This window comes from Homo sapiens, chromosome 5, assembly GCF_000001405.40.
Source record: "Homo sapiens chromosome 5, GRCh38.p14 Primary Assembly".
Lineage (NCBI taxonomy): Eukaryota > Metazoa > Chordata > Mammalia > Primates > Hominidae > Homo > Homo sapiens.
In genome coordinates, this window is record NC_000005.10 from 179,905,993 (window position 1) to 179,929,675 (window position 23,683).

At 50.2% G+C, this 23,683-nt stretch overlaps 2 protein-coding genes across 3 annotated transcripts in view, besides 8 other annotated features; both read right to left on the reverse strand.

Annotated features, from left to right (window-relative positions):
* Positions 1–1,905, reverse strand: part of TBC1D9B (TBC1 domain family member 9B) — a 45,827-nt gene extending 43,922 nt beyond the window's left edge. For both annotated transcript variants that reach the window (NM_015043.4, NM_198868.3), the window contains exon 1: positions 1,712–1,905. In NM_015043.4, the coding sequence (NP_055858.2) occupies positions 1,712–1,829 (118 nt within the window). In that variant the 5' untranslated portion in view covers positions 1,830–1,905. The remainder of the gene's footprint in view (positions 1–1,711) is intronic.
* Positions 859–1,636: an enhancer, noted in NCBI's record as "H3K27ac-H3K4me1 hESC enhancer chr5:179333851-179334628 (GRCh37/hg19 assembly coordinates)". NCBI's record gives its function as "activates a minimal SCP1, AML or CMV promoter by ChIP-STARR-seq in naive H9 embryonic stem cells {active_cell/tissue: H9 hESC(naive)}" and the evidence as "EXISTENCE:reporter gene assay evidence [ECO:0000049][PMID:30033119]".
* Positions 859–1,756: a biological region, named in NCBI's record as "H3K27ac-H3K4me1 hESC enhancer GRCh37_chr5:179333851-179334628".
* Positions 1,517–1,566: a silencer, noted in NCBI's record as "silent region_16753". NCBI's record gives its function as "represses an Ori minimal core promoter by ATAC-STARR-seq in GM12878 lymphoblastoid cells {active_cell/tissue: GM12878}" and the evidence as "EXISTENCE:reporter gene assay evidence [ECO:0000049][PMID:35858748]".
* Positions 1,617–1,756: a silencer, noted in NCBI's record as "silent region_16754". NCBI's record gives its function as "represses an Ori minimal core promoter by ATAC-STARR-seq in GM12878 lymphoblastoid cells {active_cell/tissue: GM12878}" and the evidence as "EXISTENCE:reporter gene assay evidence [ECO:0000049][PMID:35858748]".
* Positions 1,767–1,826: a silencer, noted in NCBI's record as "silent region_16755". NCBI's record gives its function as "represses an Ori minimal core promoter by ATAC-STARR-seq in GM12878 lymphoblastoid cells {active_cell/tissue: GM12878}" and the evidence as "EXISTENCE:reporter gene assay evidence [ECO:0000049][PMID:35858748]".
* Positions 1,897–2,056: a silencer, noted in NCBI's record as "silent region_16756". NCBI's record gives its function as "represses an Ori minimal core promoter by ATAC-STARR-seq in GM12878 lymphoblastoid cells {active_cell/tissue: GM12878}" and the evidence as "EXISTENCE:reporter gene assay evidence [ECO:0000049][PMID:35858748]".
* The window catches only part of RNF130 (ring finger protein 130), a 160,109-nt gene continuing 142,084 nt past the window's right edge, over positions 5,659–23,683 (reverse strand). The window contains exon 8 of the mRNA NM_001410829.1: positions 5,659–14,434. Within this exon, the coding sequence (NP_001397758.1) occupies positions 14,325–14,434 (110 nt within the window). The 3' untranslated portion in view covers positions 5,659–14,324. The remainder of the gene's footprint in view (positions 14,435–23,683) is intronic.
* Positions 11,083–12,000: an enhancer, noted in NCBI's record as "H3K4me1 hESC enhancer chr5:179344075-179344992 (GRCh37/hg19 assembly coordinates)". NCBI's record gives its function as "activates a minimal SCP1, AML or CMV promoter by ChIP-STARR-seq in primed H9 embryonic stem cells {active_cell/tissue: H9 hESC(primed)}" and the evidence as "EXISTENCE:reporter gene assay evidence [ECO:0000049][PMID:30033119]".
* Positions 19,759–20,259: an enhancer, noted in NCBI's record as "H3K27ac hESC enhancer chr5:179352751-179353251 (GRCh37/hg19 assembly coordinates)". NCBI's record gives its function as "activates a minimal SCP1, AML or CMV promoter by ChIP-STARR-seq in naive H9 embryonic stem cells {active_cell/tissue: H9 hESC(naive)}" and the evidence as "EXISTENCE:reporter gene assay evidence [ECO:0000049][PMID:30033119]".

The window sequence follows — 23,683 nt, forward strand, 5'->3', positions numbered from 1 at the left end:
CCTCAGCCTCCCGAGTAGCTGGGATAACAGGCGCGTGCCACCATGCCTGGATAAATTTTATATTTTTAGTAGAGACGGGGTTTTGCCATGTTGGCCAAGCTAGCTATTCAGATTCTTTAATGAAAAGTCTAGGTTGGCATGTTTTTAATAGATGGCTTGGATAAAACCACATCCCTGTCTGCTCCTCTTCAGGGAGGACAGTACTCAGGAGGCCACGATGCCCATGATGGCACAGGGAAGGCCCTGTCAGAGGGCACAGCAGGACACACCAAACCTAGCAGTGGGGAGAGATTGGGAGAGGGTTCAAAGAAGGGTTCCCTTGGGGGGACCCTGGGAGCTCGGTCCCAGGGGACACGGAGAGTGAGGTGGAAAGGAGAAGAGCCCGCAGGAAGGAGGTGTACAGAGACCGGGCTGCACCTGCACCCGCCCGTTCAATGAGACGACCCACATAAGCCTGCCGAGCACAGCACAAGTGTTTCAAGTACACCAGCGAATATGACACACTGGCGCGCTGATGACACCCTGGCGCGCTGGCGGAAGAAAAGGTGCCGGTCCCTCGCTTTCTTCATCGGGCTTGCAGTAGCTTCGAGGTTAGCCACAGGGGCTGCCGACTGAACAGCTGGATCTAGGAGGCGGGTCCAGAACAGGAGCCCGAGATCCTTGAAGCCCACTGGGAGGGAACCCGAAGCTGAAGGGAACACTGAGTGTTTCTGGGAACAGAACAGTCTCTTCCACATGAAGAAACGTGGCCCAGGAGAAGCCTCCGTCTGCATCTGGCTATTAGCTGCTCACACTGAAAATCAGGATGATTCACAGAAAATGCTCTTGATAAACTGGACGACCTGGCAACACTGGGACCGCAATCCTGTAGGGCAACAGTCGGTGCCCCGAAGAGCACAGGCACTGAGCCCGAGCCAGCCGGGCTCCTGCAGTGCTGGGCGCAGGCCCTGGAGCATGAGGGGCCCCGGACACCACCTGCGGAGGGAGTGGCCTGTGGGCCTCCCCTGGATCCCACAGGCCGCACGACTCCAAGGGTGCCTGTCCAGCTTCATCCTGTGTGATGGTGGCACCCGGGCCCACAAAGGGCCACCTTGGCGAGCTTGCAGGAACACCCTGTGCCGCTACCCACAGCCTTGGGTGCGCAGCTCTGAGAGCAGCCAGGAGCAGGAAAGGTGGGGGAGGAGAAGCTGGGGGAATGGGGGTGCGGCCAGCTCCAGGGACCTCTGATCTTGCTAAAAGGGCGATACTTTGGTGAGATGGGCACGAAGAAGAGGGCAAAAGAAAACGTGCGCTGGCGTCACCTGGCCCCTTAGAGGCACCTGGGGAAACTGAGGTGGAGGATGAGGACAGGGCGGTCTCGCCAACTTTCGGCGGTGAGATCCCGGGAAGCTGCACGGCCCCCGGGGCTCGCGGGCGCCGAATCCGGGCAGAAGCCGCCGCCGGTCTCCACTTGGCCGCCCCAAGCCGACCTGAGGAGAGCCCGCCGAGGGCGCATTCGCCTCCCGCCAGCCCCTCGCCTCCCCGCCCCGGCCCCTCCGCGCCCGGCTCCCGGGTCCTGGCCTCGCGCCCCCGCCCCGCCGCGCGCTGGCGTGCGTGTCCGCCGCGACGCGCCGAGGCCGGGCCGGAACCGGACCCGCCCGCCGCCCGCCGCCAGCCCCGCCGCCAGCCCAGCCGCGGCGCCCACAGGCCCGGCCGCCCGCGCGCCTCTCACCCGTAAGGCCGCCGCCCCTGCCGTGGCCCCGGCGTCGCTGCAGCACGAAGAAGGGGTTGGCCCGCTCCGTCACCCACAGCGCATTGGCCACCAGCACCTCCTCCGGGCTCAGCCACATCGCGGAGCCGCTCGCACCGGGCCGAGGCCCGCGAGACGGAAGCGCCCGCCGCCGTCGGCGTCCCGGAGCGGAGCGTGCGGAGCGGAGCGTGCGGAGCGGGCCGGGGCGGGGCGGGGCCGGGCGGGCGGCGCCCCCTGGCGGGCGTGTGGCGCTCCCGCACGCGGCCCGAGTTCCGCGCCGCCCCCTCAGCCCCGGCCTCGGGCGCGCGCCAGCCTGGCCTCCTGGAGCGGTGCAGCCCACGGCCTCCGGCCTGGGTCCAGAACGGAACGGCCCAGTCCGCAGACAGGGGAGCCGCTGTGCAGAGCAGGGCTTCTGGCGTTTTGAAAGCTGTGCAGTGTGAGAGAAGGATGTCAAGAAGCAGAGTTTGGCGGCTTTTGGCTGGTTGCGCGTGCAACCCGGGGCGTGTTAGCACTGCAAAGGGCGCCTGGAAAGGGTTTGCAGTTCCTCCTAATTCTCAGCTTTCTTTTCTTTTTTTTTTTTCGACAGAGTCTTGCTGTGTCGCCCAGGCTGGAGTGCAGTGGCGCAATCTCAGCTCACTGCAACCTCTGCCTCCCGGGTTCAAGTGATTCTCCTGCCCCAGCCTCTTTAGCTGGGATTACAGGCTCCCGCCAACACGCCCGGCTAATTTTTTTGTATTTTTAGTAGAGACGGGGTTTCACCATGTTGGCCAGGCTGGTCTCGAACTCCTGACCTCGGGTGATCCGCCTACATTGGCCTCCCAAGTCCTGGGATTACAGGAGTGAACCATCGCGCCCGGCCAGTTCTCAGAATTCTGACACTGGGGCCGGGAGACTAGAAGAATCTTCCAGCGCAGGGCAGGTGCCAGGAGGCCCTGATACGGGCTGCATCCTTGGAAATCAGTGCTGCCCCTCCCCTGACAGACGGGTCACAGAGGCTGGCCGGCCCTGGGGATGGGGTCTGGACTGGCCCTGGGCCCAGTGGCGGCTTCTGCGCAAGTGTGAGGCTGGCTGCAGGCGAATGCGGGTCCCTGGTCTCCCAGTGTTGGCCTGCAGGGGCAGCGCCAGTCCACACACAGCCTTCTGCATGAGGGGGCTGTCAACTCCACCTGGGACAACGGGCCTGGGGCCTGTCCGGGGTCGACTGGGATGTGGGGTCACCCTGCTGGCTGGAACCCTCACCAGGGTCTGGCTAGAGGGCAAAGGGAAGGGGGCAGTTAAACCATCCTTGGAGCTGGACCTGACTTCCAGGTGGGTTTCTGTGATTGGCACTCAAGAATCTTGGTGCGATGGATGTAGGTACATGCAGTTGACACCCAGAGTGATCTGCAGTCTTCTTCAATGTTGCTGGATATAGGAATCAGCTTTCAAGATGCAGAGGCGGGCTTTCTTCAACACCTTGGAAGTCTGAACTAATATTGTCATTGTGCTCTCTAGAGGGAAAGAATTTGGAAGAACTGCACTTTTTAACACCCTGAGAGGAGGTAAAGAGTCGTCTTGTTCCTTAATCCCAGTGGTTCTCAAATTGGGTATACATTAGGATCACCTGGAAGGCTGATTCAAACAGGCTGCTGTAGTCCCAGCCACTTGGGAGGCTGAGGTGGTAGGATCACTTGAGGCCAGGAGTTCAAAATCGGCCAGGGCAATATAGCAAGACTCCATCTGAAAACAAAACAAAACAAAAAACAGCCACACAGGTTGCTGCCCCCTCCCTCCCAGGGTGTTTGCACTGCTAACTCGTTCCTAGGTGATGTTGATGCTGCTGACCTGGAGACCACTCCTCGAGAATGGTTTTTTATAAGAAGAAAAAGAACAAACATTTATCGATCACTTAGTATGTGCGTGCTAAGCTTACTTCTTTTTGATTTTCTGAGATATAAGTCACATTCCGTAACGTTCACTCTTTTAAAGTGCAAAACGTAGTGGTTTTTAGTATATTCACTAGGCTGGGCATCCATCATCACTAATTCCAGAACATTTTTATCAAGTCAAAAGAAACCCCTTACCCATTAGCTGCCATTCCCCACTTCCCCCCGGCTTTGCCCTGGCAACCATCAATCTATTTTGTCTCTATACATTTTTCCCATTCTAGCCATTTCTTCATATAAATGGAACCTTACAATATGTGGTCTTTTGTGTCTGTCTTCTTTCACTTCCCATCATGTGTTCGAGGTTCACCCACGTTGTAGCACGTATTGATGCTTCATTCCTCCTTATGGCTGAATAGTACCCCACGGTATGGATGCACCGCATTTTATTCATTTGGATGGACATTTGGATTGTTTACCCCTCGTCTATTATAAATAATGCTGCCATGAACATGTGTACAAGTCTTTGTGTGAATATGTGTTTTTAATTCTCTTGGGCATATATTGAGGAGTGGTATTGTTGGGTCATGTGGTACAGCTATGTTTAACTTTTTAAGCAGTGACCACACTGCGCTCCAAAGCAGCTGTAGCATTCCACATGCCCACCAGCTGGGTGTAAGAGTTCTAGGCAGGGCGCGGCGGCTCACGCCTGTAACCCCAGCACTTTGGGAGGCCGAGGTGGGCAGATCACAAGGTTAGGAGATCAAGACCATCCTGGCTAACACGGTGAAACCCCGTCTCTACTAAAAATACAAAAATTAGCCGGACGTGGTGGCATATGCTTGTCCCAGCTACTCGGGAGGCTGAGGCAGGAGAATTGCTTGAACCCGGGAGGTGGAGGTTGCAGTGAGCCGAGATCACGCCACTGCAACTTCAGCCTGGGCAGCAGAGTGAGACTCCGTCTCAAAAAAAAAAAAAAAAAAAAGAGTTCTAGTTTTTCCATATCTTGTCAACACTTGTTATTGTCTTTCTTTTTTTTTGATGCTCATTTCTAGAGGGTGGGAAATGGTATCTCGCTGTGGTTTGGATTTCCATTTCCCTGATGACTGATGATGGGCTTTTGGGTTATTTGTATATTTTATCTGGAGAAATGTCTATTTGGAGAAATGTCCTTTGCCCATTTAAAAAATTTTTTTATTTTTTTATTTTTGAGACGGAGTCTCACTCTGTCGCCCAGGCTGGAGTGCAGTGGCATGATCCTGGCTCACTGCAGCCTCTGCCTCCCAAGTTCAAGCGATTCTCCTGCCTCAGCCTCCCAAGTAGCTGGGAGTACAGGTGCGTGCCACCATGCCTGGCTAATTTTAGTATTTTTAGTAGAGAGGAGGTTTCACCATGTTAGCCAGGATGGTCTCGAAATCCTGACCTCAAGTGATCTGCCCGCCTCGGCCTCCCAAAGTGCTGGGATTACAGGCGTGAGCCACTGCACCCGGCCTCTGGCTCCAGTGCTTTTCCACACGTGTCAGACACGTGCTGCCTTTGCCCCCAGCATTCACTTCTCCCGTCTGTGCAGTGTCGTTTGTTTTTCTGCAGTGGGAACCGTGCCTTAGAACGCTCAGCTCTTGTCTGTCAGGTGAAGACACATGGACTCCTGGGCTGTGAAGGTGGAGCCCATGCCAGCTGAGGCCATCGGTGCATTCTATCTGTGATCACAGGGGCTGGCTGGTGATGGCCATGTGCCTCCAACCAAGTCAGTTGGGCCAGGGAAATACCGTCCTGACCTGGGCCACCTCCTGGGGACTGGCTCTTGTGTTGATGGAGCTACTGCCACCCTGAGCCTGGGGATGGGGTTCCCAATGAGGAGCAAAGTTGGCATGTGTCTTGGTGTCAGCATTTGAGGGTGAAATCACACCAAGCCTGACATAGGCACCCCTGGGCATTTTGGCTTTTGGGAGCCATGACATTCCCCTTTTGTGTTAGCCAGTTTTGGCTGGGTTTTCTGTCATTTGTAACCAAGAGAGTCCTCAGTGATACACGTCACCACCAACAATACTCCATGTGGTCAAATCAGCTTTTTCAATAGGTTTTTATTGAAATGGTTATATTAGCAAATTCTGCACATACGGGTGTACACTGTTGGCATATAGGTATATACCATACAATTTCACTACTTGATTATACTTACACCAACCATGCAGACCAAGGAGCTGTGCTGCCCAGAACATTTCAAAGGGTTGATGAGATCTGATTGTCAAGAACCAGCTCACACTCTACTTGTAGGTGTTTGTGTTCCAGACAAGAAAACTCCCCCGACAGGGAGGCCCGAAACTGAGCTAATCGTCAGTTTTGCTTCTTGAATATTGACTGTTCTTTCTGGCACAAGCTATCCAATGAATTAAATTAAAATTTTAATTAAAATTCAAGTGCATAGTTTCCTTTTCATCCCTCAAGGTGGAAGATAAATCATTTGCCACATTTAGGTATATCCCAAGCCTCCCCACCCCCACATTACCTGTGCTATAGTTAGAAAAATAGTTTTGTACGCCATCTTCTGAGATGTTGTGCATAGTGAGCAGGAACCTAGAGTACGGTGGGCTCTTTCAATGACCCAAATATGAAAGGGGCAACTTTAATATTTTATGAGTATAAAAGCTACGGAGGGTCCAAAACAACTGTGACATATGTGGCCTAGGGCTTGCACCAGCTCCTCCTCCTGTACAGGAACAGGATGCTTCCATCAGGTGAGAATGTTCTCCATACCTCAAATCTCATTTCCTAGCTTGGAGCCTTTTCCTGTTTTTGTAATCACACGGGACAAGTTTTCTTTTTAGACAGAGTTATTGCCTCTCTGCAGCAGATCTGGTCCCAAGCCCCAGTCAGGAGATCCCCTCCTGCAGCTGGCTCAGCAAGCCAGGCCCAGGCTGTCTGGAGAACGCCTGGAGACAGCACCCTCTCTGCTTCTCTCCAGGATGGCATGTGTCATCTCAGGCTGGGCACTCAGCAGAGGTGCCAGGACCTGGACCTGGGCCACACCTACTGGCCCAGTCCACAGAGCACAGCCAGCAATCCGCAGCCTTTCTGCTGAAGGAGCGCTTACTCGCCTGAAGGAAGAGAAATGGCCAGGACGGTATATTCTACCTAACCACCTCACCCCACCGTTTCTTTACAAACATCTTGGTTCAGTACCTCCCAGTCATTGGAGAAGTCCTTTAATATCACATAGTGTAAATATACTTGCACTTAATTGGAGATAAAGGCTGTTCCAAAAGCAAATTTGAATTCACTCTGTGTTGGGTTGAATTTGTAAACCACAGCTCAGAACCAGTCTGTGACGCTCCGCAGATGTCGGTGGCTATAGAGAGAGGTGGCTAGGGAAGGCGATGATCCGCGGATGGGTGGGGAACTGAGGAGGCCAAGTCAGCTTTGCCAGGCCACCATGTGCCGCCAGGAGCTGGGCAGCCTGAGGAGAGCAAAGATGGGCCGGGAGCCTCCACCTCAACTGACAGGAGACTGCTCACCACATGCCCTCCGAGTTCCCACAGGAGAATGCACGTGCGCTGGGCAAGGTGCCACCCTCGGCTCGGGACGGCAGCCTTGGCGTCTGGCTACGGGCGCCGCTTTCACAGGGGTGGCTGGGCCGCCTAGAGCTTTTGTGGTACAGAGAGGAGGGGCCAACAGGAGGAACTCCACAGCCCAGGCGGAGGTCTGAGCAGGCCAGCAGCACCGAATCCTTCTGAAAGCTTGAAACTCAAGTTGCAGGACGTTCAAAGGTGCTTTTTTTTTTTTCTTTTCCATAAAGGATCTTCCTTCTTCCCCAAGTTAGAGTGAAGAAAACAGGAAAAAAATACCTTCAGCTTAGGGTGGAAAAGGAAGGAAAACCCAAGATGAGTGCAGGTGACGACCGGGCGGCCCCCACAGGGTCTCTGCAGGACCACAGGAGCCAAGACTCAGGCATAAGAGCATCACCCTTTCAGCAGCCAAGGCGGGTGGCACCTTCCCCTCCATGGTCACTGGAGGCTGTGGGGCCATAGCTGCAGAGAACGCAGGCGGCGGGAGACCCTCTCAGCCTCTCTTCTTCCAAGCTCAGTTTCTTGAGATCTTCCAGGATACCCACAAAAAAGAGGGTGAACCTTTAACAATGCCCCAGAGGAGCTTCGTGGCTACAGGGGGCCTCCTGACCCCCAACCCAGCCCTCTCAGCCAGGCCTCAGGAGGCTAGTGTGACCTCAAAACTCAGAGCCCCCGTGAGACACAGGGCCAGCCAGTCCCATGCCTTGCAAAGGGGAACGTTCCTCCCAGGTGTGGATTTGGGGGCTCACGCTTTGCTTTCCCTGTAGTTGCCTCGGACAGTAAGGAAAGGAATTCCAAGGAGCAGACATAGGCACCTTGTCCCCACCTGCCTTCTTCCGGTGTTTTTTTCTGATGCTACAATACTTCAAACACACAGGGCTTCTCCCAGTCCTTCTGCAAGGCTCTTAACCATAGCCCAGGGAGCTGTGTGAATATTACAATCAACAGCCTTTCCTAATGGGCTGAAAGGAGGGTGTGTCGAAGCTTTGGAATGCTTTACCAACAAGGCCAAAATACAAGACAAAACTCCACGCCCCTCATATGTAACAACTGCCCTAACCAGACCTGGGAGGGGAAGGTGCCTATTTTAAGCTGTGGGTATCGCCCTGCGATGAGTCCTTACTCATCTTCCCACACTCCCTGACAGTGTGAGCCAATGTTGACTTTAGTCACATTAAACTCTGCTTCCGGGTGACACTGAACACACGAGAGGAAGTGAGAGCTAGTTGGACAGCCTTTCTTGAAGAAGGAAATCATACTCAATTGCTTTTCTAAATCCATTGCCTTCAGTAGCTCCTTCTGTCCACACTTTAAATGTCAGTGTCCCCAGGGCTTTATCCCAAGCCCCATCCTCATGTCACTGGGTGGTCCCAGCCCCACTCTGGCTTCCACCTCCATCTGAACTCAGGGACACCTCTCCTGGCCAGCTCCCCTTGGGAGATTCTGCCTCCAGCGCATGGGAGGGTATGCATGCCTGTGGGGGTGTTTTGGGGGAGGGAGGAGGAAGGAGGAGATTTGGGTGACATAGATATTGTGATTACATGGAGATACTTCAGCAGGACAAGATGGTATGTCCACTTAAAAACACAGCTTCTGACCGGGCGTGGTGGCTCATACCTGTAATCCCAGCACTTTGAGACACTAAGGCGGGAGGGTCACTGGAGCCCAGGAGTTTGAGGCTAGCCTGGGCAACATGGAGAAGCTCTGTCTCTAAAAAAAATTTTTAAAAATTACCTGGGTGTAGTGGCATGCGTGTGTAGTCCCAGTTACTCGGGAGGCAGAGGTGGGAGGATTGCTTTAGCGCTGGAAGTTGAGGCTGCAGTGAGCCAAGATTACACCACTGCACTCCAGTCTGGGCAACAGAGTGAGACCCTGTCTCTAAATAAAATTAAAAAACAGGCTGGTGCGGCTCACACCTGTAATTCCAGCACTTGGGAGGACGAGGCAGGTGGATCATTTGAGGTCAGGAGTTTGAGACCAGCCTGGCCAACGTGGTGAAACCTCGTTTCTACTAAAAATACAAAAAATTAGCTGGGCGTGGTGGCATGCATCTGTAAATCCAGCTACTCGGGAGGCTGAGGCAGGAGAATCACTTGATCCTGGGAGGCGGAGCTTGCAGTGAGCCGAGACGGCGCTACTGCACTCCAGTCTGGGCGACAGAGTGACACCCTGTCTCGAAATAAAACAAACAAACAAACAAAAAACCCACAGCTTCGCAGGCATTCTGATGCAGGGGTCTGCAGCCTGGCCACCTTACCCCCACTGCACCTCCACCTGGGCACCAGGTTCGCACCTCCATGCCTCTCCTTCCAGAGCCCCTGCCAGCCCAGACCCAAAGTATCCCCACAGGACTCTCCCTGGGTCCCATCAACACCCGCCCAGGAACCAGGCCTGGAAGCCCAGGCTTCTGCTTCTATCTCCCTCTTCTTCCACTTGGCGTCAGAGCCTGGTGTGGGGTCTGTGAATGCTTCCCCTTTGCCTTGGCCCCTCAGGCGGGACTGGCATCCCAGGCTGGTGCCGTGCCTAGCCTCCCTGACCCCCAGTGCGGTTCCTTTTCTTTCCAAACAGAGACAGGAGTCTGGTCTCCCTGGCAAGCCTTCCCTGCCCAGGAAGTGCTGCCCTCGCCTCCTGGCCACTGTCCCCGCCTTGTCTTGACTGTTCCCTTGGGCCTCTCTATGGCTGCAATGCCTCTCCTCCACCTGTGCCCTGGAAGTCCCTCCTCATCCAGATTCACCCTCTTATCATTCGCTCTCACACCCCAGTTGCTTGATAACGTGCCCATGAACAGCCAACATCTTAATGGTCACAGATTCACCCCAACTTCAAGCATGTGTTTGGCACAGAGTGAGAGCTTAATAAAAGTTTGCTGGCGATATTAACTGTAGAATCCCACTTCTCTAAAATCAGTGTTTTTGTTTCATGACATTTATGAGCAGCAACCACTTGTCAAGGAGCCACACTGTCACTTGCCAGTGGTTAATGTCAACCACCGACATTAACGTCACCTCGTTTTCCTATAGCAGAGCCAATGCCTCAATAATAAAGGTTAACGGCGAGAGAACACTTTGAGTTTTCTTCAGTTAAAACTAGCTTCAGCCGGGCGTGCGTGGCATGAGCCTGTGGTCCCAGCTACTGGGGAGGCTGAGGCGAGGTCAAGGCTGCAGCGAGCCATGACTGTGCCACTGCACTCCTGCCTGGGTGACAGAGCGAGATCCTGCCTCTAAAAAAATAAAAATATAAAATACCAATTTGATTTAGCGTGTAGCTCGAACGGATTGGATGTGAGGGTAATAAAAACATGAGAAGAGCTTATAAAGCCAATAGAAAATGTCAAGCTTGTAAAATTCAGTAATCTCGTTTTTAAAAATACTTTTCCAAATATCATCAGACTCACTGGCAGCTGGGGCTGTTGCCGCATCAGGGAAGCCGGCAGGTGCCAGACCTCAGTGCTCAAGGCAGTGCCTCGTGAATGTGCCTCGCAGCCAGGCCTGAGGACCACCAGGGGAGCTGGGGCCTCTCTGCAAAAGCAAGGCTCATCAGGGTTGTGAGGAGTTTTTAGCTGGGGGCAGAGCTTGTCTTCCCAAGAGGAGGGCAGAGGCAGGCAGCCCTGGGCAGACATGCTTACCACCATCAGTGGCTGCCAAGCTCTGCCTCCTGCGCTGGAAGCCCTGGCTATCTGGCCTTCCCTCCCCTCCCTCTGGATTAACAGGAAAGAGGGGTTACTCCTCCCTTAGGATGTTAAAAGTCACCAAAGCTTGGCCAGGCGTGGTGGCTCATGCCTGTAATCCCAGCACTTTGGGAGGCCAAGGCAGGCGGATCACGAGGTCAGGAGATCGAGACCAGCCTGGCTAACACAGTAAAACCCCATCTCTACTAAAAATACAAAAAATTAGCTGGGCGTCGTGGCAGGTGCCTGTAGTCCCAGCTGCTCGGGAGGCTGAGGCAGGAGGATGGTGTGAACCCGGGAGGCGGAAGTTGCAGTGAGCCAAGATCGCGCCACTGCACTCCAGCCTGGGTGACAGAGCAAGACTCCGTCTCAAAAAAAAAAAAAATCACCAAAGCGGAAGCATTTGCATTTCAATAGTCACAACCAACTCCCAGAGGATGCTGATGGCTGCCCTGGCCCTAGACTTGCTGATCCTGCCACACAGGCCCATGGTCTCCTCACCCGGGCACAGGCCCAGCTCACAGCAGTCCACTGGAGGCAGGGGGGTGGATGTGTGGTGTAAATAGCTGACTCCTCAGCCTCTTCCTTACTTCAAACAGTTCCCCCCTCAACAATGACTGAGGTTATCATACATTTCCTAATAACCGCTGCTGGTGGCAAGACTTGCAACCACGGAGGCACTCACTCTCTGCACCCCATCACACCTGCAGCAGGCGGAACACTGCTCCCCAAGCGCCTCAGGGAAGCGCTGCCCATGTGGCGACGTGTGTCTTCACAATGCTCACCGGACAAGCAGCCCCGGCCACTTCCTGCCAGGGTCCCGACTTAGCAGGGATTTCCCCCAGCATAGCAGCTAGTAAAGAGGCTGTTATTTGGGATTAAAAAAAAAATGCCATTCTTGGCTGGGCATGGTGGCTCACAACTGGAATCCCGGAACTTTGGGAGGCCGAGGTGGGGGTGGATTGCTTGAGCCCAGGAATTCAAGACCAGCCTGGGCAACATGGCAAAGTCCCATATCTCTACAGAAAATCCAAAAATTAGCTGGGTGTGGTGGCACGTGCCTGTGGTGCCAGCTACTCGGTGGGCTGAGGTGGGAGGATCACTTGAGCCCAGGAGGTGGAGGCTGCAGTGAGCCAAGGTTGCGCCACTGCCCTTCAGCCTGGGTGACAGAGTGAGACTGTCTCAAAACAAAAATAAAAATAAAAACCTGAAACCAAAAACCAAATCATCCTCTCTGTTCCTGAAGAGCATGGCCTTAATGAGAAGTTAGTGTCCCTCCTGACAAAGACAGGCCATTCTGTAGCTGAGCCAGAGAGTGACCCCAATTTTCCAGAAAAGGGTGTCAAGCCAGGATCCACAGCACTGTTCTGAGTACGCTCCCCTGCAAGCAATGCCTCCTTGTTATTCTACCGTGAATGTGTGCCCCAGATTTCCCAGAAATTCAAATGTTATATTAATAGACAGATTCTAGGGGCCTGAAATTTGTACTTCTTCTCACGTAATTTCATACCTTTTCAGTAAAGAAACTGTCTTGAGTGGAATTTAACGTATACACATTGGTAAGACCTCAAATCAGGAGAAAATGCTACATCAGGATCTGCGTTTTGGTTTGGGAAAACAAGGAGGTGGTATAGACAACACGGCAATGATCCGAACTGAGCTCTCCTACCTTTCAGGTGGGTCAAACACATACAAATGCAGACGCGTGTCTGGAACCTCCAGCAAATGGGCTCCAGCTTCCTGCAGACTCACCCTCTCTCTGAGAGCCCAATGGGGAAACCTGCTTTTCTGAACGATGCTATATTGAAGCTGCTCATTGAAAATATTTTTATAGTACGAAGACTATCATAAAGAAAAACAAAACAAAAAAACCCCCAAAGCCCTTGGTAAAAGGTAAAACACAAAAGCTGCTAAGACCTTTAAAATCTGCACCATTCTAGCCTCAAATGAGCGAAAACGAAATGCCGCTGCCCGCTCTCTGACAATGCTCCTGAAGCCTGTCCCCATCCGGGGCTCTGCAGGTTTCCTTCAGGCACACCTGTGTCTGAGGCGTTATTGACGCGTTAGGAGAAAAGACACTTTAGGAGAAGCTGCACGTGGAAAAATGGCAAGTGTTCACTTCAAACGTATATTCCACAGTCAGTGAGAACAGGGCAGGGGATTCACGCATCTGCTTCGTTTGCTGTCGGATCTGACCCTGGGCATGTGGAGACTGGGGTTCCTGTTCTCACAGCAAGGGTCTGTGCGCCTCACGCCCCCACAAAGCTCATGCCAATGAGAGGCAGACTCAACTCAGGTGTGTCCTTTTGCAAAGAGGGTGTGCAGATTAGTTTTATAAATTTGCCCATAGTGGTTCTGTACTGGGATTAGCAGTAAGATGCAATTTTCTCATCATGTTAATTCGATGTCATCCCAGGTGTGTGGGAAGATCCCACATGTCCCTGATGCCTGGGATGCTGGCCACTGCACCCTGTCCTGTAAGCCTGTCGGCCGGTGCTCATGTGCCTTCTTCATGCTGTGCTGGGGCTGCTGGAGGGGACTGGGCTGCACAGTGGACAGTGAAGATGGGTGCTTATCTGGTATCTGCAGCGAGAAGGGGGTTTGGTCTTCCCAATGAGACATTCCAGATCATTCTGTCTTTCACAACTGCTGGCCATCCCCCTGAAATCACTGTGCCCAGAGACACTGCTGGGCTGGGCTCCCAGGTGCCACCTCCCTATACACACACTCCCTATACTGACGGGTGGCCGAGTAGACGTGTTCACAGGCTGCAGGGACGGAGGGGCCTTCAGTGTTTTCGTGCTGACTTAAACACTTGTCACTTTACGTCATGCTCAACACGGAGGCTGGAAAACAGCGACGCAGACGGCTGCCTGGCCCCGCACACAGACCCGGCCCCACGGCCTGGGTCTCCCACGGCCCTGCCCTGGCAGGAAGTGGGTGGTCAGAGTCTCAGAGGAGATACAAAGGCAAGGCCTTCTCTCAACCCCCTTTAGAAGGGGCCCTTCAGCAGGAAGTAGAATAAGCGAGAGGGGAACATCCAGAGCCAGGTCAGGGAGCAGCACCTGTACTCCACGCGGGTAGGAAGCTTCTCCCACAGGGCAGTATGCATCGTAAGCAGGGACCACAAAAGGATGTTAAAAACCCCAGCTTCCCTGGTGCAGAACAGCATGTGATTGTTCAGAGATGCGTCTGCAATGCAACATTAATCCTGGGCCCGGCCTCTTCTCTGGAAACAGCCAGCCTTGCTGGGCGCCCACCTTCAATGATCAGCTTGGGCGGGTTTTCAATACCACAAGGCTCACCTGGGCAATGCTACTGTCCTCAAAGCCTCACCTTGGGGGAACTTTGCAAATTAACCCTGAACCCCAACCTGTGCTTGGAAAGTGCTGCCATTCTTCCAAAACGGATGCTGACAGGAGAATACAAAATAAGAAAGGTGATCAGAAATCAAATCACAAAAGCAGTGACCCCAACAGCCAGGCCATGTTTAAAATTCAGGTTTTGTTCTCATCATACATGTCCAAAGAAGGTTCGATGGTGGAGAATTCACTTTCATACACCAGACTCCGAGGGGACAAGGAGTTTCGATGAAAGAAGTGACCACCTGGAAAAGGAAGAAGAGAAAGAGACTTAATAGGTCACCAGGCTTGTGTTTCTCACATGGCTAGGAGGAAACAATGCAGATTATCTTTGAAGCATGACATTTTCTTAACTATCCTTCATAAGGGGCTCTTATTAGAGAGATACAAAAAGTGCGGGCATCCTTCAATTCACGCAGGCTTTAAGCATCTAAGTTCCAATCTTCGGATCCCCAAGAGACTAACCACTGGAGCTCCTCAAAGCAAAAGCTGCCTGGTGCTCGTAAAAGGGTTCCACTTAGAAACGTGAAGACTTCTTCCTGGGCACATGATCTTATGGAGGACTGCCCCCCAGCCCTCTCATCTGGGCATATATATTTATATATATATATATATTTTTTTTTTTGAGATGGAGTTTTGCTTTTGTTGCCCAGACTGGAGTGCAGTAGTGTGATCTTGGCTCACTGCAACCTAATATGCCTATGTTGATCCTTCCGAATTTTTTTCAGTCTTAGACTTTATCTACTGAATTCCCACTGTGGAAGATGAGGATTTTCTCCTAACCCCCGCACCCAAATTGCACATACTTTCCATTGCCCCAATATAATTATATTTTGATTTTAAAATTCCATAGTTACATTATTTGACTATCTGTGCTACTCAAAGCTGAGCTGTGCTTACATTTCCTTTTCTATAAAACTGTTTTTAAGCTTTACTGGGGTATAACTGACATACAATGAAAAGCACATGTTTAAAGTACATCATTTGGTGAGTTCTGACAGCTGTATAGGCCAGTGACACCGACACCACCATCAAGATAACGAACATATCCATTACCCCAAAGTTTCCTGGTGCCTCTCAATCCCTTGCCCTTCTTTCTACCCTACTCCTATTGCCAGGGAAACATAGATTAGTTTGCATCTTTCTAGAATTTTATATAAGTAGAATTGCATAGTATATATTGGCTCTTACAAATAAAGTTGCTAGAACATCTGTGCACATAAATTGTGTGAACATATGCTTTCACATCTCCTAGACCTGTAAATACTCAGAACTGAAATTACTGCAAAAACTGAACTTTTTCAGAAACTGCCAGGCTGTTCTAAGATGGTCCTGGCTGGGTGTGGTGGCTCATGCCTGTAATCCCAGCACTTTGGGAGGCCAAGGCGGGTGGATCATTTGAGATCAGGAGTTCAAGACCAGCTTCAACTACGTAGTGAAACCTTGTCTCTACTAAGATACAAAAATTAGCTGAGCATGGTGGCATGTGCTTGTAGTCCCAGCTACTTGGGAGGCTGAGGCAGGAGAATCGCTTGAACCCAGGAGGTGGAGGTTGCAGTGAGCCAAGATCGCGCCACACGCCTGTCATCCCAGCACTTTGGGAAGGCGAGGTGGGTGGATCACGAGATCAGGAATTCAAGACCAGCTTGGCCAACATAGTGAAACCCCGTCTCTACTAAAAATACAAAAAATTAGCCAGGCATGGTGGCAGGTGCCTGTAATCCAGCTACTCGGGAGGCTGAGGCAGGAGAATCACTTGAACCCAGGAGGCGGAGGTTGCAGTGAGCGGAGATTGCACCACCGCACTCCAGACTGTGTGACAGAGTGAGACTCCGTCTGAAAAAAGAAAAAAAAGGAAAAAGAAAAAAAAAGATGGCCCTACCGGCAGCCTATGGTAGTCTCAGCTCCTTTTCATACTCACAAACACTTGACATGGTCAGTCTTGGAAAAGTTTAGGCATTCTAGCAGGAGTGTAGGAGCTTCTCATTGTGGTTTTAATTTGCATTCTCTGATGACTAGTGACGTTGAGCATCTTTTCATGGGCTTATTAGCCAACCGTGTATCTTCGTTTGTGAAGTGTTTTGTTCAAATCTTTAGTCCATTAAAAAAACTGGGCTTTTAAAAAAAATTTCTTTTTTTAATTTTTTTTGAGACAGAGTCTTGCCCTGTTGCCCAGGCTGGTGTGCAATGGCGCCATCTCGGCTCACTGCAACCTCCACCTCCTGGGTTCAAGAGATTCTTGTGCCTCAGCCTCCTAAGTAGCTGAGATTACAGGCGTGGGCCACAATGCCCAGCTAATTTTTGTATTTTTAATAGAGATGGGGTTTCACCATGTTGGCCAGGCTGGTCTCGAACTCCTGAGCTCAAGCGATCTGCATCAGCCTCCCAAAGTGCTGGGATTATAGGCACAAACCACCACGCCCGGCTTGGGCTGTCTTCGTGTTATCAAGTATGAGGGTTTAAAAAAAATTCTAGGCCGGGCACAGTGGCTCATGCCTGTAATCCCAGCACTTTGGGAGGCTGAGCCAGATGGCTTCAGCTCAGGAGTTCAAGACTAGCCTAGGCAACATGGTGAAACCCCATCTCTACTAAAAATACAAAAAGTAGCCAGGTGTGGTGGTGAGCACCTGTAGTCCCAGCTACTTGGGAGGCAGAGGTGGGAGGATCGCTTGAGTCCGGGAAGCAGAGGCTGCAGTGAGCCGAGACTACACTACTGCCCTCCAGCCTGTGCTACAGAAAAAAAAATAATAATAATAATCCTCGATACAAGTCTTGCCAGACATACATTTTGCAAATATTTCCTCCCAGTCTGTGACTTGCCTTGACATTGTTATAACAATGTCTTTTGAAGATTAAAAGTTTCAAATTTTGGTAAGATCAAATTTATTGATTTTTTCCTATTATAGTTTGTGCTTTTTGTGTCAGATTTAAGAATCCCAAGGTCACTAAGATTTTCTCGTACATGTTCATCTAGAAGCTTTATAGTTTTAGTTCTCACACTTAGATGGTCCACTTCAAGTAAATCTTTGAAAATGGCAGAAAATAAGAGTTGAAGTTCATTTTTTTTTTTGCATATGGATATCCAATTGTTCCGTCGTCGATTGTTTAAAAGATTATCCTTTCCCCCACTGAACTGTCTTGGCACCTTTATGGAAAATCTATTGATTGTAAATGTGTGGGTCTATTTCTGGGCACTATTCTGTTCTAGCAATCCATTTGTCTGTCTTTATGCTGTTAAATTAAATTTAGACTAAACTGCTTCCTTATATATTTTAAGTTCGGCCTAAAGGTTTCTCCATACACAGTGAACTGTCACCTAAATGGATGTGTGACAGACTGTAACCGATTCTTGTACCAAGGAGCTGAGTCTCAGCCAATCCCAGCGGCTGAGTTTCAGCCAATCACAGGTGGCCAACAGTGCAAAGCGTGTTCAGTGAGGCAAAGGCTGAGCTTCACCCATCCAGCTGGTTCTGTACCTCACTTCCCTTTCCTGTACCTCACTTCCCTTTTTCTGTCCATAAATCCAACCACGGTGCAGCCCTGGAGTTGCTTTGAACCTATTTCGGTCCTGGGGGCTGCCCAATTCTTCAATCACTCTTGCTCAATTAAACTCTGTTAAATTTAGTTTCCCTAAAGTTTTTCTTTTAACAACACTAACACCATATTGTCTTGATTACTGTAGCTTTACAGGTCTTGAAATTAGGATTAGAAATTCTCGAACTTGATGGGCACGGAGGTTTGCGCATATAATCTCAGCAGATTACTCAACAGACGAGTATTAAATGAAAGCATTTCAGTGCTAGCTCATGAGCTGCAGGGCAACCTCTGTTTTCTTAACTTTTCTATATTAAAAGTCTTCTGCATTTAAAAAATTGGCATGAAGTCCAGCTTGATGGTCAGTATCTGTAATCCCAGCTACTAGGGAGGCTGAGGTGGGAGGATCGCTTGAGCCCGGGAGTTCAAGTCCAGCCTGGGCAACACAGTGAGACCCTGTCCCTAAACAATTTTTTTTTTTTAATAAATAAAAATTACTGCTGGGCGTGGTGGCTCACGCCTGTAATCCCAGCACTTTGGGAGGCTAAGGCGGGTGGATCACCTGAGGTTGGGAGTGCGAGACCAGCCTGACCAACATGGAGAAACCCTGTCTCTACTAAAAACACAAAATTAGCCAGACATGGTGGCGCATGGCTGTAATCCCAGCTACTCGGGAGGCTGAGGCAGGAAAATCACTTGAACCCAGGAGGCGGAGGTTGCGGTGAGCTGAGATTGTGCCATTGCACTCCAGCCTGCGCAACAGAGCAAAACTCTGTCTGAAAAAAAAAAAAATAAATACAGGCTGGGCGCAGTGGCTCATGCCTGTAATCCCAGCACTTTGGGAGGCCGAGGTGGGTGGATCACCTGAGGTCAGGAGGAGTTCGAGACCAGCCTGGCCAACATGGTGAATTAAAAATATAAAAATTAGCCAGGCATGGTGGCGGGTGCCTGTAATCCCAGCTACACAGGAGGCTAAGGCAGGAGAATTGCTTAAACCTGGGAGGTGGAGGTTGCAGTGAGCCAAGATGGTGCCACTGCACTCCACCCTGGGTGACAGAGTGAGGCTATCTCAAAAAAAAATTAAATATAAATAAAAAATTTAAAATGGGATCAATTCAAAAATGCTTCCTATCTATCCACAGTAGCCCTCTAAGAGCAAGGTCCCACATAAAATATGAGCTATTTCATTTCTGACAAAGGATCCTCAGCCCCCAGAAGCATCAGCACAATCCAACAGCACTAAGGGAGGAAGATGAAAAACAAAGAGCTGATGACAGGGGAGTTTCCTCTCTTCAGGATGAATTAAAGCTATCTGCCATATTGTGAAAAGTGTATTTGGTTTTTATCCGGGCTTCCTGGCCTACAACTGCTAGAATCCTCAGAATCTCCACAGTGGTATCTTTCATATGCTAAAGAGGTGGGTGAAGGCGGGCAGCCCCCAGGTAGCTCCGGGATGGGGCTGGTCACCAGAAGGACCAAGGCAGGACTAGAGGCCTGGGACTTTCAGCCTCACCCCCCAGCCTCCAGGGAGCGGAGAGGGGCTGAAAGTTAAGTTGATCGCCCATGGCCAACAGTTTAATCAGTCATGCCCACGTAATGAAGCCTCCATAAAAACCCAAAAGATTGGGACTGGGATACTTCGGGGATAGCTAAACACGTAGAGGTACCGGTAGGGGAGGGCACTGAACTCCAAGCTGCTTCTCACATGCCTTGCCCTACGCATCTGTCAACCAAAAAGAGAAATAACAGGCATTGGAACTAGAGAAGCATGGCTGGGTTTCTTCTGTTTTTTCATTTATTTATTTATTTATTTTATTATTTTCTTCTTTTTGAGGTGCTCTCACTCTGTTGCCCAAGCTGGAGTGTGCAGTGGTGCGATCCTAGCTCACTGCAGCGTCAACCTCCTGGGCTCAAGCAATTGTCTTGCCTCAGCCTTCCCAGAAACTGGGACTACAGGTACATGCCACCAAGCCTGGCTAATTTTGAAATGTTTCTTTTGTAGAGCCAGGGTCTTGTTAGGTTGACCAGGCTGGTTTCAAATCCCTGGGCTTAAGCCATCCTCCCACCTTGGCCTCCTAAAGTGCTGGGATTACCTACGTGAGTCACCACACCTGGCTGGGTTTATTCTGAGCCAAGTTGGAAGACGTAGGCCCAGAACACAGACTCCATATAGACGGAGAACGTGCCTCAAAGGAGGCTGCATGAGGCACAGTAGACATACATTTTCCAACAGGGGGATGCATGTGGCACGGAAAGGGGGAGCAGCAGAGGCGAGGCAGGGAAGCAGCTTTCCATTCTTGTGATTCTGATTGGTGCTCAGTGACGCTACCCATACGATAAGGTAAATGTGCACTTGTGTGGGGTGGGAGAAAGGCTAGGCAACTTAGGGTCTGGTAGGGGTTGACCAATTCCATCCTGTCTTTGTTCTACCTCTGATAAATGGGTTTACGACTAGTGCCTGTCAGTGAACTACGTAAACTCCAGTCATACAGGCAAGAGGTCAGCTTTATTTATAGGCCTAGGATTTATTATTCATGTGCCCGACTACAGCCATCATGGGCCACTGTTAAAATTTTCTTTTGAATTTTCCTTTTTCTGACACGTCTCTTCATCTGTATCCTTTGCAATATCCTTCATAATAAATCTCAGGCCGGGTGCGGTGGCTCATGCCTATAATCCCAGCACTTTGGGAGGCCGAGGCAGGCGGATCACCTGAGATCAGGAGTTTGAGACCAGTCTGGCCAACATGGTGAAACCCTGTCTCTATTAAAAATACAAAAAAAATTAGCCGGGTGTGGTGGCGCATGCCTGTAATCCCAGTTACTCGGGAGGCTGAGCAGGGGAATTGCTTGAACCAGGGAGGTGGAGGTGGCAGTGAGCCGAGATAGCGCCATTGCACTCCAGCCTGGGCGACAGAACAAGACTCCATCTCAAAAAAATAAAATAAATAAATAAATAAAAATCTCAGAGTTGTGTGAGCTGCTGTAGCAAATTAACCAAACCTAAGGAGGGGGCGGTGGGCACCCTGACTCATAGCCAGTTGGTCAGAAGCATGGGTTGAACACTTGGGCTTGCGCTGGGCATTGGACGTGGAGACAGTCTTGTGGGACTGAGCCCTCACCCTGGGGGACCTGATGCCATTTCCAGGTAGACAGCGTTGGAACTGAATTGAATTGAGGGACACCCAGTTGGCATCTGCCTCAGAACTGCTTGCTTACTTCGTGTGTGGGGGCCCCCTCGCCCCACTCGACACTGCCCCCACCACTGACTGTTGGTCACGGAAGTCTTCTGTGTTGACTGTTATGGGGTGAGAACAGAGGAAAAACAGTTTGCTTTTTCTAGTCACCGTCAGAAGTGGAAATGACCGAATCTTTTTTGTTAGGGTAGTCATCAGCTGATACCAAATCTTTGGCAATAAGAAAATGGGTCAGAACTTAAGTCAGTAATCTACATTGCTAACCAGTTTTCTTGAGAAAAATATAATGCAAACAGAGGAATGCACAAGCAGCTGAATTTCAGAGGAAGGTATGAGTCTGGCTTTGCCAAGAAAGCACACATAATTTTTGACACCTGGAAATACACCAGATGTGTACTGGTCAACTAATTATTATCTTTGTTATTGGCTACATAATGTTATTAAGTAAACTCTTAATTGAGGCATAACCTACATACAGATATGTGCACAAATCATAAGTATCCAGTTCAATGAATTTCCACAAAGAGAATATACCTACAAAATAATCACTGGATCAAGAATAGAATACTACCAGCGCCCTACAAGTCCCTCCAGTGACCGCCCAATCACTATGTCCTCTCTCCCCCGCCAAAGGAAACCATAATCCAGACTTCTCCCACACAGTTTAGCTTTGTCTTTTTTTTTTTTTTTTTTTTGAGATGGAGTCTCACTCTGTCGCCCAGGCTGGACTGTAGTGGCTTGATCTTGGCTCACCGCAAGCTCTGCCTCCCAGGTTCAAGCAATTCTCCTGCCTCAGTCTCCTGAGTATGGGACTACAGGTGCCCGCCACCACGCCTGGCTAATTTTTTTTTTGTATTTTTAGTAGAGATAGGCTTTCACCATGTTAGCCAGGATGGTCTCGATCTCCTGACCTCATGATCCACCCGCCTTGGCTTCCCAAAGTGCTGGGATTACAAGTGTGAGCCACCATGCCCGGCCTAGCTTTGTCTATTTTTAATTTTATATAAATGGAAACAGGGAATATATTCTTTTGTGTCTAGACTCTGTCTGACACACAAATGTCTGACATTTATGTTGCAACATCCATCCGCCTCAGGGAATATAGCAACAGTTCCTTCCTTTTCACCGCCGCATCATGTTCCACTGTCTGGCCACCACACAATTGATTGGTCTAATCTTTACGGACAGGCATTTGCATTGTTTCCTCTGGAGGCTCTCTGAATCTTGCTGTTAGGGACACTTGTTTCTGTGAGTTATCTTTTGTACACATGGACATGCCTTTCCCTCGGATGATGCCTGGGAGTGGGATTGCTGGGTCTTAGGTGTGCATATTTTCAGCGTCAGCAGACACTGGCCATGTTCCAAAGTGGCTGTGCCAACTTTGACTCCCACCAGTAAATGAGAATTCCAGTGGCTCTCTTTCTGTGCCAATAATGGATATTTTGTTTTTTTTTTTCATTTTAGCATTCCAGCAGGTGTATACACGGCATTTCACTATGTTTTAACGTCCATTCCCCAAATGACCAAAAAGGATGAACACTTTTCATACATTTGCAGGCTGTTTGTGTATCTGGTTCGCTCTGAAATGTCTCTTTGTTTCTTTTGCTCATTTTCCCATCAGGTTGTCAGTCTTCTTCTCCTTTATTGTGACTGTGAGTCCTTTGTGAGTTAAGCATTGCAGGTACCTTCTTCCAAAACTGTATTTTTTTAATTGTTGTTGTTTTTTTTTTTTTTTGAGACGGAGTCTCGCTCTATCACCCAGGCTGGAGTGCAGTGGTGCGATCTCGGCTCACTGCAAGCCCCGCCTCCTGGGTTCATGCCATTCTCCTGCCTCAGCCTCCCGAGTAGCTGGGACTACAGGCGCCCACCACCACGCCTGGCTAATTTTTTGTATTTTTAGTAGAGACGGGGTTTCAACCGTGTTAGCCAGGATGGTCTCAATCTCCTGATCTCGTGATCCCCCTGCCTCGGCCTCCCAAAGTGCTGGGATTACAGGCGTGAGCCACCGCACCTGGCCATCCAAAACTGTATTTTGATGAGCAAAATTTCTTAATTTTAGTGTGGAACAAATTATCTAACTTTTATTTTATGGTTAGGGCTTTTTCAGTCCAGTTGAAGAAGTCTTTGCCTATCTGAAGGTTTTGATGACATTTTATCTTATTTTTTAGAAGCTTCATGGTTTTACCTTTTGCATTTAGGTCTATCATCCATTTCAAGTCAATTTTTCAGTATAGTGTGAAGTAGGAATTAAGATTCATTTCTTTCTTTATAAATATTCAGTGGAGCCAGCACCATCTTGAAAAGACCATTCTTACCCCACGGCTTGTGCAGTGCCACCTCTGTCATGAGCCAAGTGTCTGTACATGCACGGCTGTTTCAGAACTCTATTTTGTTCTGCTGTCTGTCCATCCTTGCATCGATACCTTACTGTCTTAATTACTGTGGCTTTGTCAAAAGTCTTGATTTCCAGTATCTAAGTCCTTTTGCTTTATTATTCTTCAAAATGTTCTTGTTATTCTTAGCTCTTTCCATTTCCACGTAAATTCTAGGATCAGGCTGGGCGTGGTGGCTCACACCTGTAATCTCAGCACTTTAGGAGGCCAAGGTGGGAGGACTGCTTGAGCCCAGGAGTTTGAGACCAGCCTGGGCAACATGGCAAAATCCCATCTCTACAAAAAATACAAAAATTAGCTGGGCATGGGGGTGCATGCCTGTAGTCCCAGCTATTCAGGAGGCTGAGGTGGGAGGATCACTTGAGCCTGGG